Source organism: Homo sapiens, chromosome 4, assembly GCF_000001405.40.
Source record: "Homo sapiens chromosome 4, GRCh38.p14 Primary Assembly".
In the NCBI taxonomy this organism is placed as follows: domain Eukaryota; kingdom Metazoa; phylum Chordata; class Mammalia; order Primates; family Hominidae; genus Homo; species Homo sapiens.
In genome coordinates, this window is record NC_000004.12 from 79,816,028 (window position 1) to 79,832,908 (window position 16,881).

General features: G+C 36.0%; 1 long non-coding RNA gene across 1 annotated transcript in view; it reads left to right on the forward strand.

Annotated features, from left to right (window-relative positions):
• The first annotated feature begins 11,443 nt into the window (after positions 1 to 11,443).
• The window catches only part of PCAT4 (prostate cancer associated transcript 4), a 35,777-nt gene continuing 30,339 nt past the window's right edge, over positions 11,444 to 16,881 (forward strand). The window contains exon 1 of the long non-coding RNA NR_026555.1: positions 11,444 to 11,576. This is a non-coding gene — a long non-coding RNA (prostate cancer associated transcript 4). The remainder of the gene's footprint in view (positions 11,577 to 16,881) is intronic.

The window sequence follows — 16,881 nt, forward strand, 5'->3', positions numbered from 1 at the left end:
AGAAGATGCTGACTGGCTCATTTTACTATTTCTATTTCTCCCCAAGTGATTCTTCAACAAATAGCTTCATTGAAAATAATAATAACAATCCAATTAGTATGAAACTCTTTAGGCAGGCAAGAGGGTAAATAAAGAAGAATCAGAACATGAGGAAAATACAGATGACAGATGCAAGAGTAAATACACAAGGAAACAGAAAAAGAAACTATAAGAATAGTTCTTTATAGATGTTGTATTTTTAAAAATAAAGAAAAACTACATTTTTTTTTCAAAGATGAAATTACTCAAAATCAAGAGGTGAGTTTGAACCAACAAACCTTTAAGACAAATTGTAGGAGGAAAACAAATACATTAAGAGAAGAAAAACACATTAAGCACAACAACCACAAAATACAACCACATGTGTTTACAAATATAGGGAGTGATAGATAAGATAGAGAAAATCACATAAAATGACATTTAAAGAGCTCTTACAGAGATCCTACTTCTGGTGATAATGGAAGGCCTTGTATTGAATTAACTCTTTCCATGTAAAACAGTTATAACAAAATATTTATAAACAACAACAACAACATTTTGAGATACTAGAGTGAATACAAATAGGCAGAAGCTGGAAGAAAGTGGAATCTTAAAAGAAAAAAAGAACTGCACTGCTATATATACATTTAACACAGCTTTTTAACTGAGGGCATTTCCCAGTTCTAATAACATAAGAATCTAAAACCTAAACAAAAAGTCATAGTCTTGAAGAATCAGAGGACCAAGCTCCACAAAGTTTCAGAAAAGAAAATATAAAAATTAGTCTATAAATTCTGATTAAATCTTTGGTTAACTCAAAGTTGCAAATAAATGGACTGACTCCAAGGACAGCAGAAGGAAACACTGCTGGAAAGTTTAAAGAACCAAGTAGAAATTTAATTGCTTCTGGGAAGGAGAGGCAAAGCTGAAAGTCTGAGTCAAGCCCAGTTAACTACCTGCTAGAACTAAAACAGTACTCTTCAGAGGAAGATAACAAAATCTAGAGTCTCTACAATATATTACCTAAAATGTCTAGTATAATATAAAACATTATGAAACCTTAAAAAAAAAAACAGAAAAGTGTTCACATAATAAAGAGAAAAATCAGCCAATAGAAACCAAACCTTAGATGACCCAGATGTCAGAACTAGTATACAGGAATTTAAAATAATTACTGCAAATATTGACTAAGACCAAGTAAAACAAAGTCACAATAAATTAATGGGTGGACTACCTCAACAGAGAAATAGAGAATATTTTCTAAAAAGCAAGTCAAAATTTGTAATCTAAATAAAATATCTGAAATTATAAATTCACTGGTTAGGCTTAAGAGCAGCTTGGGAATAGCCCCAGTAAAATTAATGGTAGATCAATAGAAAATATTCAATCTGAAAAATAGAAGGACTGGGAAAAGCATGTCTCAATGACCTTCAAGACAATATCAGGAAATCAATTATAAATGTAACATAGCCTGAGAAGATGAAAGAGTGGATCAGGAAAAATTATTTTTAAATACTAGCAATTTTCAAAAATATATGGTAAAAAACATAAACTTACAGATGTAGAAAGCTGAATGAAACCAAGCAATCTAATAAAAAATACAGAAAAAGAAAAAAATACTTAAAGTAACCAGAGAAAAACAACAAATTACCTACAGAAAAGCAATAATAGAAGTGATAGCAGACTTCTCATCAGGAATAACAGAGGCCAGAAGACAATAAAATAAAATCTTTAAAGTACTGAAATAATTTGATGTTCATTTCTATTTTTTTTCAAAAAATGAAAACATAATATAGACATTATATAAAAATGAAAACTTGGAGAATTTTAGCAAGATATGCTGAAAGTTCTTTCAGCTGAAGGCATGTGATACCAAATGAAAACTCAGAATTACAGAAATAAATAATGAACACTGGGACTGATTATTACATGTATTTTTCTTTCACCAATTAAAAAAAATATGACTAATGCCAAAATTACAACATTATATTTCATGGGTTATAATGTATACTTATGTTAAGATATTTGACAATAACACAAAGGATAGGATGGTAAATGGAGCTATACTATTGCAAAGTTTCATGCTTTATGTTATGTGGTAAATTAATGATTTATAATGTGAGTTCCTACATCAACTACTAAAAATGTACTGCAAAAATTACACTAAAAAGGCAATAAAGAAATTGAAATGCAATATTAAAAAGTGTCCGATTACCCTTAAAGAAGGCAAAGTAGACAGAACAAAAAACTGAAAGAACAAATAAAAAGAAAATAGCAAAACGGTAGACTTAATTTCAACTAAATGGACTGATTACACTATATGTAAAATGGCTGAACATTCCATTTAAATGTCAGAGATTGTCAGCCTGGATAAAAAGTAAGATGCAACTATAAGTTTTCCATAAATGATGCACCTTAAGAGATAAATAGGTACAAATAAATATGAAAATGCATACCATGAAGACAATGGGCATTACAAAATTGGCATGCCTATATTACTATAAAAACTGACTTTACAGAATTTTGTTAGAGATAAAGAGAACATATTTTATGGTAGAATAGTCAAATCATCAAGAGGACATAAAATTCACAGATATATGTGCACCTAATAACAGAACTTCACAATACTTGGGAGAAAAACAGAACTAAAGGGAGAAATACTTGAGCACAGCTTCATAGTAACTCTAACACCAATCTGTCAGCAATTGATAGAACAAGTAGTGAAAAACTCAAAAAGCCTAGAGAATATTTGAATACTACTATCAAACACCTTACTTTACTTGATATTAATAAGCATTTAACCCAACAAGTGGAGTATATTTGCTCTCTTTTAGTGCACAGGAGATGGTCACTAAGATAGACCATACGCTGACTAAAGATAAAAATTTCAATAAATATCAAAAAACCTAAAATATTTTAGAGTAATTGTTATTAACACAGTAAAATTAAATAAGAGCTTACTAACAATGATTCCTAGAGAAGCACAGATAGAAACAACACATTTCTAAGTTGCCCCTGGGTAAAAAAAGAAATAGCAAAAAAATTAGAAAGTTAGAAAATATTTTAATTAGAAAATTTCACAATTTGTTGGCTGCAGCTAAAGTCATGAAAATGTATTACTTTAAATGCTTAGATTTAAAAGGAAGAAAGGTCTAAATCAATGACCTAATATTTCACCTTAAGAAGCTGGAAAAAGGACAGCAAATCAAACTAAAAAAGTAGTAAAAAGAAGGAAAAATAAAATCAGAAAAGCGGAAATCAATGAAATAGGGGAAATAACTATGGTAGGGAAAAATCAACAAATTTATTAAGTAATTCTTAGAAAAGATTAATTAAATTGATAAAATGCTAACAGGAGTGCCCAAAAAGAAAAGGGAAAACACAAATTACCAATAACAGTGATGAAAGAATATACAACAGTGAAATCCTAGGTATAACTTAAAAAGAAGAGACTATAATAAAACTACTTTATGCCAATAAGTTTGACAGTATAGTTAAAATAAACAAATTCCTGAGAAAAGCAAAGGATCAATTTTGACCCAAAAAGAAATTGATAATATTAATAATCTTAAATGTATTAAAGAAATTGAATTCATTGTTTAAAATGTTTTCATTGAAAGTACTTAATTCAGATTGTTCTGCAGTAGATTATCCCAAAATTTTAAGAAAAAAGATTTATTTCAAATTTCAAATTATTTCAGAAATTAGAAAAAAGACACATTATTTTATGAGTCCAAGATAATTTTTATACTTAACTGAAAAGGATGTAAATAGAAAAAAAACACAGACAATCTTTTTCATAATGACAATTGTGAAAATTCTAAATACAATATTTCTGTGAGTAACTTCAAAAATCTTCTTGACTTATCTTAATTACATGGTTTATACAAAATATGACCATTACCGGCCAAAAGGAATAAAATAGTAAAATGTGTTTTAAAAAATAATAAATGTCTAAGCAAACTGCATAGGTTTTGATGTCAGAATGATGTTACACACACATGTGTGCACACACACATCGTTTAATAATACAGAGTCTATTCAGCTATCTTGCTATATGCTGCTTTTCTTAGTTCTGGAGATCCATAGGAAACAGCAACATCTCACAAAATTGCATAATATGACTTACAAGAAAAAAATGGCTTATCAAAAGTTGTTCTTGATATGTTGTTTACCCAGCAAAGAAAATATAAATAAGGAAGAATTACATGAACTCTGAAAGTTGCTACAAACCACAAAATATAATGGTGGGACAGGCATAGGACAGACAACTTTCATTCCAAAAGGGAGAAACAGGAAAGAATAAAGCAGTAACTGGTCCAAAGCAAGTTCAAAACTCAACAGGGCAAACAATACTAAGTCCTAAAGCTTGAGCATAATATTTGACTTCATGACCTGTCTTACAGCACACTTGGACAGGAGTTGGCCTCAGGCAGCCTTGTTCCTATGCTTTGTGGGGCTTACTCCATGCAGCAGCTCCTATAGGTTGGAGTCCCATCCCTGCAGCTCTTCCAGCCTGGTATTGTATGCTGGTAGCTGTACAGTTCTAGTATCTTGAAGATGGCCCTGTCCCCATGGCTCCACCAGCAATTGCCCTAGTGGGGACTCTCTGCAATAGCTCTGCTCCTATGACAAGTCTGTTAGGGCTGCCAGTCTATCTATGACATCCTTTGAAATCTAGGTGAAGAAAGTCATGTCCCACCAGCTCTTGGATTTGACATGCTTGCAGAGTTAGCACCACATAGACTGCCAAGGTTTATGGCTTGTACCTTTTGGAGTTTGGGTTGAGTCAAATTCAGGGCCTGCTTGAGCCATGGCTGAGGCAGCTGAGAAGGGTTGCCCTGGAATGCAGGAAGTTGAGACTTGAGGCAGCCCTGGGCAGTGAGCCCCAAGGTCCTGAGGGTATTCTAGGCCTCCCTCTTGACATATTTCTCTCCCCCAGGCCTCAGCACGCTCTGCCTGTGACGGGAGAAATCTCCGAAGTACCTTTAGGATCATTCTTCCATTGTCTTGATCCATAGCTCCTCACTTCATTCTATCCATGCTAATCTTCTTGTCAAATGGTTGTTTGGCCACATCCTTGGTTTCCTCTCCCGAAAATTCTCTTTCACTCTATACCACAGTGCTAGGATGAGAATTCTTCCAATCCCTACACTCTGTTTTCTTTTTAATTATAAATTCTGTCTTTAAATCCTGTCTTCTCTCATTTTCCTACATGCAATTAAAAGAAGCCATACAGCACCCTAAATGCTTTGCTGCTTAGATATTTCCTCTGCCAGAGAGCCTAGTGCACTGCTTTGAAATTCCACCTTTCATAAAGTCCTAGGGGACTGATAACAGTTCAGCCAAGTTCTTTGACACTGTAACAAGAATGGCCTTTCCTCCAATTTCCAAAACCTTGTTCCTCATTTTCGTCTGAGATCTCATCAGAATGGCCTTTATTGCCCATCTTTCCACCAATATTTGGATTACAACCGCTTAAGTAATCTCGAAGAAGTTTCAGACTTTCGCCACAGCTCTCCTCTTCTGAGCTCTCATCAGAATCACTCTGCATGCTCCATTCATAGTAATATAGGCTTTTTTCTCACCTGCTCTTCCAAATTCTTCTAGCCGCTACTCATCACCCAGTTCCACAGCTGCTTCCACATTGTCAGGTGTTTGTGACAGCAACACCTCAATTCTCTAGTACAAATTTCCTGCCTTAGTCTACTCATGCTGCTATAACAGAATACCTGAGACAGGATAATTTATAAGGAACAGAAATTTATTTATTATAATACAATTCTGGAGGCGGGGCAGTCCAGGATCAAGTTTCCAGCATCTTGCAAGGCCCTTCTTGCTGCATCATCCCATAGCAAAGAGCAGGAAGAAGGGCCAAGAAGGCACACCAGAGAGCCAGAGAGCAAGAGAAGGCCAAGCTCTCCCTTTTATAACAACATTGATCCCACCCATGAGGGTAGAGCCCTCATGGCCTAATCACCTCTCAAAGGTCCCACCTCTTACTACTGTTATAATGACAAATTTTAACAGAAGTTTTGGAGGAAACAACATTCAAACCATAGCAGTTTATGTTTATTTTCTATTCCTGTGTAACCAATATCATAAGCTTAGGGGTATAAGACCACACTGATTTAACATCTCTCAGTTTCTGTAGATCAAAGGTTGGGGGAACATCATGACTGGTTTATCTTCTTAAGGTCTCACGGGGCTGAAATCTAGGTGTCAGCTGGGTCTAGGATTCTCATCTGCGGCTCAGGACCCTCTTTAAAGCACTATTGGAAGAATTATTTTTTGTCATAGAACTGAGGCTCCTGCTTTCCTGCTGGATATTGGCTTCCGACCACCCTTAACACCCAGAAGCTGCCCATGGTTTCTTGCCACGTGGCCCTTCCATCTGCAAAGCCAGCAACAGTGGGTCTGTCTCACATCAAATCTCTCTCATGCTTCAAATCTCTGACTTCTTCTGTGTCTGGCCTCTATAGCCAGATTTAAAGGGGTCAAGAGATTGGGTCAGGCTCACCCAGATAATCTATCTTTTTTAAAATTATGCCATAGAACATTATCTAATTACAAAAATAAAAAAAAAACTATGAGATTCACAGTCCTAGGGATAATGTATCAAAGTGTACATCAGAAAGTGGAAATCTTGGAGGACATTTTAGAATTTTGTCTATTACAGGGTTGTTTTAAGGATTAAATAATATAACATAGAAAAACATATATCTGAATACCTAGTCCTTAATAGGGACCTAATAAGTATCATTTATTTTGAATATGATATTTGGAGGGAGGGAAGACAGTTGACCTACCAACTAGGCATTGTCATTTCTATAGATTAAAGATATTAAAATATCAACAATTTTATACGGTTGTATTATACCATGTTTGCTCAATGTAGTATTTTATAAAACTGAAGAAACACCTCTATATTGAATTTTTAGTCAGTAAATCATTCATTTTCTTCATTCATTCATTCATTTTCCCACAAGTTGGAGCTAATACTTAATACCTAGTATGAAATAGCCAATAAGTGGGGCAATTTAGAGCATACATAAAAGAGAAAGACATCATCCCTAACCCTCAAAACTTTAGGATCTAATGGAATTTGAGTCTTCCTAGATTTTAACAGTGTAGTTGATATTAAACAAAGCTGCTTCTAACAGAGCTAAAAGAAGCAACACATATAGCAATTTCATGTGTCTAACCTCACATTGTTTATAATTCTATGACAAAAACAAATGGAGAAGATAAATTTAGAAGAAACTGTACTACACAGGCTTAGTGACAAATGGAGTTTACAGTCTTGGCAAGCAGCCTCCAAGGTTTTTCAGCGTTAGCTGGCATCCTACTTTGGAAATACCTTTCTTAGTTTCTCAGCAACAGTTCAGATATGACAAACAATTCTAGTGTCTCCTTTTTTGGCTTCAAATAAAATAGCATAAGCATATTTAAACATCCATCTTCTTCTGGCTTCTAAACTCTTTTTTCACATGAGCACTTAATTGATGGCTTTGTGCACCTTACTTGTGTCCCCCAAGGAGAGTATTCCAAACATCCCTGGACATGTAAAAGCTTCTTTTGTAAAGTGACGCAGAATTCCATACTTCTTCAATTTGTTTTTTATTATTTCATTGGTCAGAATGTGGGCAGCTTCTGCTGCAGATACAGTCTCCAGTAACTGCCCTTCTAATGGTGACTTGGCTGAGTTATGCTGTGATACAAAGACAGTTTCCAAATCTCTGCCAATCTTCCTTGTGTTTATATAATTGCAATAATAAAACATACCACAGAATTTATCTTAGACACACTCTAGTCTAATCCCCATCATATTTTTAATTCTTATTGCAATATCCTTAACAATAACACCCACTCTCTTCTTGAATACTGGGATCAAAATGGAGTTCTTTAGCAAAGAACATTGCTCCTGCTTTTAATCCTTAATTTCCAAGTTGGAAAAGTTATTGCTGAATTTCTGGTCTTTTGTGTTGGTTGTGGATGGGCAAGTAGAGATTTCTCCACTCTCCCAAGATATAAACAGATTAAAACTCCTGATTTCATTAGTCAAGGACACAAATAATTAATAGGAGCAAGTTAGAAACAGATATAACTTCTCTTGATGTGAATTTTCCTAGGCCTGTAGTTCCCTAAAAAGGCAGAAGCTAACACATTTCCAGAATAGGATAATGTCTGATATGAGAAAATAATCTAATTTGTGGTATGACAAGCCTTTCGTATTTGGGGTTTATCAACTGCTATAAGCAGAATTAGGAGTCCTCAGCCCCAAATATGTCCATGTCCTCATCCCCAGAACCTGTGACTATGTTAAGTATCCTGGCAAAGGAGCATTAGGGTTACAGTATCGGGGAACCTGCCCCAGTATTCATGTAGGTTCTTTTCTATTTTCCTTAAGTGTCGGCCAGCTTGAGAAATAAAGGGACAGAGTACAAAAGAGAGCAATTTTAAAGCTGGGCATCCAGGGGAGACATCACATGTTGGCAGGTTCCGTGATGCCCCACAAGCCGCAAAAACCAGCAAGTTTTTATTAGGGATTTTCAAAAGGGAGGGAGTGTGCGAATAGGTGTGGGTCACAGACATTAAGTACTTTACAAGGTAACAGAATATCACAAGGCAAGTGGAGGCAGGGCGAGGTCACAGGACCACAGGACCGAGGCAAAATTAAAATTGCTAATGAAGTTTCGGGCACCATTGTCATTGATAACATCTTATCAGGAGACAGGGTTTTGAGATCAACCGGTCTGACCAAAATTTATTAGGCAGGAATTTCCTCTTCCTAATAAGCCTGCGAGCTCTATGGGAGACTGAAGTCTATTTCATCTCTGCAGTCTCGACCATAAGAAACGGCCACGCCCAGGGGGCTGTTTATAAGCCTATACCTCCAGGTGCACATTCTCCTTCTCAGGGATGTTCCTTGCTGAGAAAAAGAATTCAGCAATGTTTCTCCCATTTGCTTTTGAAAGAAGAGAAATATGGCTCTGTTCTGCCCGGCTCACTGGCAGTCAGAGTTTAAGGTTATCTCTCTTATTCCCTGAACAATTGCTGTTATCCTGTTCTTTTTTCAAGGTGCTCAGTTTTCATATTGCTCAAACACACATGCTGTACAATTTGTGCAGTTAATGCAATTATTATAGGGTCCTGAGGCAACATACATCCTCCTCAGCTGACAGGATTAAGAGATTAAAGTAAAGACAGGCATAGGAAATCACAAGGGTATTGATTGGGGAAGTGGTAAGTGTCCATGAAATCTTTACAATTTATGTTTAGAGATTGCAGTAAAGACAGGCATAAGAAATTATAAAAGCATTAATTTGGGGAACTAATAAATGTCCATAAAATCTTCACAATCCACATTCTTCTGCCATGGCTTCAGCTGGTCCCTCCGTTTGGGGTCCCTGACTTCCCACAACATCTCTCCCTTTCTTTTTATATAAATGTGCCATGGCGATGAAGGCTTGTTCGTTCTCCCGATTTTGATGCAGGATTCTTTGACTGGTCTGGCACACTAAAAACAAGCCGATTAAACAGAGAAACATAATTCCAAAATGTACTACAGTGGAGCCCCCAGTAGACTTAATCCAAGTCATGGGGTTTAATCCATAAAGATTTTCTGCCATCTGATCTAACGCCTCAGCTCCAGGCACAATGGATAAGTGAGCTTGAGAGGCTTCAAAAATTTGTTTCTTTAATTTAGTTATGTCCAATGATAAATTATCTTCTCTACCCAGAAGATGTCCTTTGACCATTTCCCATGAATGATCAGTCTCATTATAGGAATATGGGGTGATGTAGAAATCTGAAGTATTCCAATCGCACTGCATTTGCATGAGATGCTCGAGACTCACTACCCGATCTCCAACCCAAATAACAGACTGTCTTAAATCATTAATTTGATTTGCCAATTTTTGATCGATGCCTTGTTGAGAATTCCACATTTGGGTGGAAATGGCTTGCCAATCATTAACAAAATGAGCTGTTTGAATGGATTGGTGTAATGCCATTCCGGCAGTGGTGGCCATTGCAGTGACTGTAATTAGGCCCATGATAACAGTGACTAAAGTGAAAACAAATCTCTTAGATCTTTTTAGAATTCGCTGTAGCACTTCCTTATTGAGGGGGAGGATTCCCAAGGTCTAGGTAAAGTTACCGGAATCCAGATTCCTTCTCGAGCTCGAACATTACATTTTTCCTGGAGTCAAAATGGGAGTTAATACAAGTGCATAGATGACAATTAATGCATTGGACAGTTTGATTATGTGTCCAAATTTTGATATTTCCTACTAACGGCATGTAAGGAGGCTTAACACAGCTCTGTATGGGAATAGTCAGGTTGGAGGTAAGTAAAGCAGAATGTCTGGGTCTACATTGATACTGAGTGGGATGGTAGTGGGAACAACAGTCAGAATAGTTTTCCCTTCCCACACTCACAGTCCAGACATGGCAATAGCCAATTTCCAAAGTTCTGGGTGTTCTGGGCTCAGAATGGGGAGTATCATATGAGGCCTGGGGTTGGGGGGTGTAATGCCTTTATCTACCCATTTTAAGGGAAAGAATGAGCTGATCCTCCTATGCAAAGTAGAATGATGATTCTCGTTCTCTTGATAAGAAATAAAATAAGTAGCCTCCAGGCATTCCCTTCCACCAGAGGAGCAATTGTTTTTTAAATAGCCCTTTGGTGCCCAGTCTATTACTAAACCATATGAGTCATTTTTTAATATTACTGCATGTGAGTTAACACAATCTTCCCAAATTAAAGTTTTAGATGGGCCCTCAAAATTTTTAGGGCACGGTTTTCCTGCAGGTTTATATGGAAAGTATGGGTATCTCCCATTACTCCTCCTTTCATTTGTTTTAAAGGAGAAAGGGAGAGGCCAGAGACCAAATGTCTCATTTTATCTGTAGCTGAACTTTCAGGAAGATAAGCAGCCCAGACTTGAGTTTCTAGATGTATACAACCAGGTGCATGTCCAAGGCACAGAGGGTGGTATTTATAACCCATAGTAACATTAAATGCAGTGTCTTATTCTCCTGGTTGGGCAGGGCAACAGTTATCTGTGGCTCCAGGCATCCACACACTATTGTTAGTGTAGATTTCTGCAGAAGCATCTATCCAGGTGAGAGGTTGAATAAGTGGAGGAAAAGGCACATAAGCCCAATAAGAATATTTATGTGTAGCAGGTAAATCAGTGTGAGAGGAAACTGGTGAGACAGAAAGTATAAGGAGGAGAATCATTAAATAAAACTTATTGTAAGTGAGATTCTGAAGAAGGAAGAGAAGAACAGTGTTAAGTATCCTGGCAAAGGAGCATTAGGGTTACAGATAGAATTGAAGTTGCTCGTCAGCTGATTGAAGATAAGGAGATTGGCCTGGATTATCCAGGTAGGCTCAATGTAATCAGGAAGGGCCTTTAAAGTGAGAGAGGGAGGCAGAAGAGGAAGTCAGAGCGATGTGCTGTGAAATCTACTACCGTTTGCTGGTTTTGAAAATGGAGAAAAAGAGTGAGGAACTGAGAAACATGGATGGCCTTGGGAACGTGGAAAAGGTAAGGAAACACTCTTTCCCCCAGAGTCTTGTAAGAGGAATGCACTCCTGAAACGTCTTGGTTTTAGTACAGTGACATGGTTTTAACCCATACTGGACTTCAGAACTATAAGTTAATAAATTTTTGTTATTTTAAGCCACCAAGGTTGTGGTTACCTATTATAGCAGCAAATAAAAAAACTAATCAACCTTCTGACTTGGGTTGGTTTTAGGCTCTGAAATGAGGATTCATGTGAAAGTGTTTTAGTAGGAAGTGTTCCCAGGAAAAATTGTTTAGGGAAGCAGGAAAATGGGATCAGGAAGGAAAAGATGCCAGGAATGGGTGTCAAGTCATGCTATGTTTCATGCAGGACTTGGATTCAATCCTATATGAAGCAACAATAATATATTTTACACTTAAAAATTTGATAAGAGGGTGGATCTCATGTTAAATGTTCTTACCACAATAAAATTTTAAAGAAAATCTTTTTAATCCCATAGGGGAACTCTGGAGAAAATGTGGGTTATTTGTCAGTTCTCCGAAGTCAAGTGGCAAGAGAGTTGAGTTATTCATCTCTGACCAGACATTGCTTATACACCACCCATAGTGGTGAGGTAGAGGAGTAAATTCCTAGGCAATTTTAGATCTCCATGCACGTAGAAAAATGGAATCTGAATGTTTGAAAGCATCCGTCTACCAAGAGACACAGGTGTTGGCTGTTAGGAATGAAAGCTGACTGGGAGCTTACACATATGACAACGGCAAAGAAACCCAATTAGAGATGGGTAGAGTACTAACAGTGTCTGCAACAGTTTCCTAATCTATGCACTTTTACTTAAATGAATGTTAACAGATTGCATTTTTTTATTGATTTTGTATCAAAGTCAGCATCTGCAATGCCACATACCATCCAGGGAAAGAAAGACTCAGTGCCCAAATGTTTCTGAAAAGTATCTTCACCTTCTCAGAGATCTGCACAATTCAAATAATCCACTTGTCAATAAGGAGTTTGAGTATTGCTGTGTTCCAGGAATAGTCTCTGAGAATCTAGTAAGATACTTCTCAGGTTTCAGTAGAAGTTGTGATAAGATTACAAAAATATAAAAAGTAATAAATTATCGTATTGAATGAAAACAATCCAATCTTTTGTCTGTCATTGCTCTGAAAGCATGACATTATGTAACTTCAGTGTTTAAGAATACCCTGACTATGCCCAGCTTCTCCTTATTAACTTTGTGAATGGATCCATCACATCAGAATCAGCTGCATCACTTTTCTAAGTCACCAGTTGTCTTCAATGGACATCATCTTTAAGATTATGTTCAAAACTGATTGTTTTCCCTTATAAATCTGCCTCTTTTCCCAACTTCTCTTCCTTTGTTAGTGGCATTACTATTATTCTGGCCTCTCAAGTTAAATTTATTAAACTTTTTCTTCTTGGTCCTTTTCCCATTTGCCCTGAAAATACTCACTGGTGGTGCTTGTGGCTGCAGCGTTTAACCTGTGATAATTTTGCCATGAAATATCTCGCTTTTATTATTTTTACATTGCTCTAGTATATCAACTTTGGAAACAAAAGACATCATTCTATTTATAGCATTGTGTTTTTAGTAGTGGTATTTCCATTTACAAAATATAGTAATTCTCAATCGCTGTTAAAATTTGAAGAAATTAGTACCTTCATACACTGCTGGTGGGAATATAAAATAGGGCAACCACCTTGGATAACAGTCCGACAAATCCTCAAGTGGGTTAAACATAGGTTACCATATGACCCAGTTATTCTACTCCTAAGTATATATCCAACAATAAAAACATAACTTGTTTCAAACATCTATAGCAGCCATATAGTTGAAACAATGTCTATCAACCGATAAAGTGGAGGAAATCACTGTGGAATATTATTTAGCCATAAAAAATAATAAAGTACTAATATATGCTATAACATGGATGAATCTTAAAAACATTATGCTAAGTAAAAGAAGCCATTCACTAAAGAACATGAATTATATGATTCAGTTTATATAAAATGTCAAGAATAGGAAAACCTATAGAGACAGAAAGTAGATTAGTAGTTGCTTAGGGCTTGGGTTCGGGGGCTGGAAGGATAACTAAGAGTTACAAGATTTCTTTTGGAAGTGTGTGATGTTAACATCGTTCCCAAACAGCTGTTGGCAGAAGATTCATTTCATGAATCTGATTTTTCCAAAACAGACAATTCTGATGATTGAGATGATTTTGATGTTAGTTCTGTTTAGAAATAACTCCAAGATCAGTTTTTATATTTTATTTTCACATTGAAAAGCTATCACCTTTGTTTCAGCCTCAAAGAGTGTGTTTATGTAAAATTAAATGAGCACTAGCAGTGAGCTGCACTCTTTTTTTTTTCTAAAGGGGAAAAGGGTTAAACCTGGTTTCAAGTTTGTCATTAAGTCTTAAGATATTGCTGCTACTTGTTTTCTCCCTGTGACCGCAACTTCTGACAGTCTAAACTCACTTTTTGTTTATATTGCTGGCCACCTAATATAGTGAGTCCAGTAAGTCTATCAGAAGAACCAAAAATATCATTTTTCTTGTCACTTCCTTGGTCAAAAATCTGCAATGAATCACTTTTTACAGCACCAGGAAATATGACCAAAATATTAACGTTTTATGCATGAGGGATCAAAGCCCTGGTCTCCTTCTTACTACTGAATATTATTCTGTTTGACTTCACCCTGTTGGTTTCCTCTATACCCTTTTCACAATTTGAAATTACATTATTTGTTTGTTTACTGATTATTTTTTATTTATTTTCTATTTCTATTTGGCTACATCTAAACTGTAAACTCTCCAAGGGTAAGAGATAGACATTTTTGTTTAACACCATACATCTTGTACCCTCTACAGGCTACTTATTAGTGCCAGGCAAACAGAAGGTTTTCAATCAACATTTGTTGATTTAGTGGAGAAAGGAAGTAAGGAGGGAAGAGGGAAGATGAGAGGAAGGAATTATTTTTCGGTTCTTCTTGCTGACCATCTCACCTACTTCCTTCCTTCTCCACCCTCATCTCATACTTTAGGATAATTTTTATGTTTGCCTTTTTTTATGCTATACCTCTACCCTCTAATATCTCCCTGCTTTTTCTCCTGGTCAAATCAAGTCACAAATTCTGTCTCATCTCCACTTTCTTGATTTCTGCACCCATATCCTTTCCAACCAGAGACATTTCTCATGTCTTAACTTCTGTTTTAGTTCCCATCTGTATAATTTTGAGCACTTGGTTACATATTTTCTGATGTTGCCATCTAATATTTTAGCATTTGGCATTGTTTCTACATATAGGTCTTCCAGTATTTGCCTTCTGCCTATCTGCTCTCAGATTCATTCACCAGCCTTTCCCTGCTCTGTCCTCTTTTGTATTAGTTTACATTTCTCAGACTTTCTACTCTCTGGCTTTCTAATAATTTTATCAATGGGAGAAATTAATGGAAAATTAGGAAGAGGGAGGAGGAGAAAAGCTGGGATATTTCTGCCTGCAGTGGCTATTCCTGCAGCGATTATGTTTTATCCATGGTTGTAGCTCCTGCCAGGCAGCCTGTACCATGGCTTTACCTCTCGCCAGATGTCCCAGTTTCTGGGTTCCGGTGATAACATCTCTTCTTGTGATTTATCTATCCATTAAGAAGGTAAGGGCTTCCTGCTGTGGCTAATCTCTGAGTTGTCCCAACCTCAGGCTTTCCAGTTTTTCCATGTCATCTATCAACAACTCCTTGTATTGAATTTCTTCTGTTTGAAAGTCTTAAAAAATTGTTTTGTTTTATTTTATTTTGTTTTTCCTGGCAGAACACTGACTGATATGCCTTTTTAAGCCTCCAGGAGTATTTTAAATTTTCTACATCCTTCTACAGCTGGTCATATAAAAGTTACTTATGTATGTGGATTGTTCTTTTATGAGTGCTTCTTGCTTATATCAGAAACAATCATCTGGAAAACACTCCCTTGTTCCCTATAAACAAGGTTCAAACAGTATATTATCCCAAAATGTCTCACTGGAGAAATGCAGTTTAGTTTTCTGCACAACTCACCCAACCTGGCTAGATTTTACCTGGGAAAAATAAAGGTCTTCAAACTTTGAGGTCATTTTGATTAAACTACAGACATCAAGGAAAATAAAAGTGTGTTCTCTGCATTGATTTAAGTTGGTGCAAAAGTAATTGCAGTTTTTGCCATTAAGAAATGGCATATAAAGTATAGCAATGACTATAAGGTTATGAGTATAAGGTATAGCATTAAACAATGACAAAAACTGCAATTACTTTTCACCAGTATAATACCATTACACATACAATGACCTTTCTACTTTCCCTATTTTGTGTATTGAGTCACATCCCAAACATCTGTAGAAAAAGTGTTAGTTAAGACACTAAAGATAAGAATTATAGTTCAATTGTGACTAAAATCACAGTCTATGCTTTCTGGCTTAACAAATATAATCTGGGTATCAGTCAGTAGTGAAGATTCATTTAAATTACCACATCACCAGATATGAAACAACTTCAAAGCTATACCAGCACAAATGCTTTTGAAATGAAATATCATCCCACTACTGAAAATGAATCATATTATCATATTTTCCACTGTCTTCTACTTTCTCTGGCAATATAGTTAATGACTATCCAAGTATAAGATAAAACTGTAAACTGTGAGCAGAATGCAAAACAAGGCCCTAGATGGACCAGAAAGATTGGTGGAATGAGTACTGATCCCAGGGCAGCTCAGGACTACAAATGCAGTCTTACATAAGTCAGTGAAATGGCCAGTTTATTTTCATTTCCTTATCTTCAAAATTCAGGGCTAAATTGAATGATATATTATGACCCTTTCACTGAAAAAACATACAGATATACACAACTGAAAAAACAGAACTAAGTGGCACTTCTTTTTTGATACCAGTACAGGAGCAATCACAAATCCTTTGTGAATGAAGGAGTGTAGAGGCAGAAATAAGTAATAGGACATTCTAACCACAAGTTTGTAATTTTCTAACCAGTTCTTTTATAGTCAACTCAACATTGCATAAATTGAGAAATAATCCCAGTTTGTGTGGCTAGAGGTAAGCAATATTCTTATAATTCAAGACAGAATAATATTCAAGACAGAAACAATGTAGTGTAGTAAATGGTATTATGATTTTACAATTAAAAGAGACCTTAGAACACTGAGTTCAGAGGGTTTTTGTTTTTTTGGCCTTTTTAAGAAAATCATTTTCCTACTGGAAAATCATTTGAAAGCTATACAATCTCTTTCTCGATAAAAACAAACCATAAGCAAGCCTGGCACAGA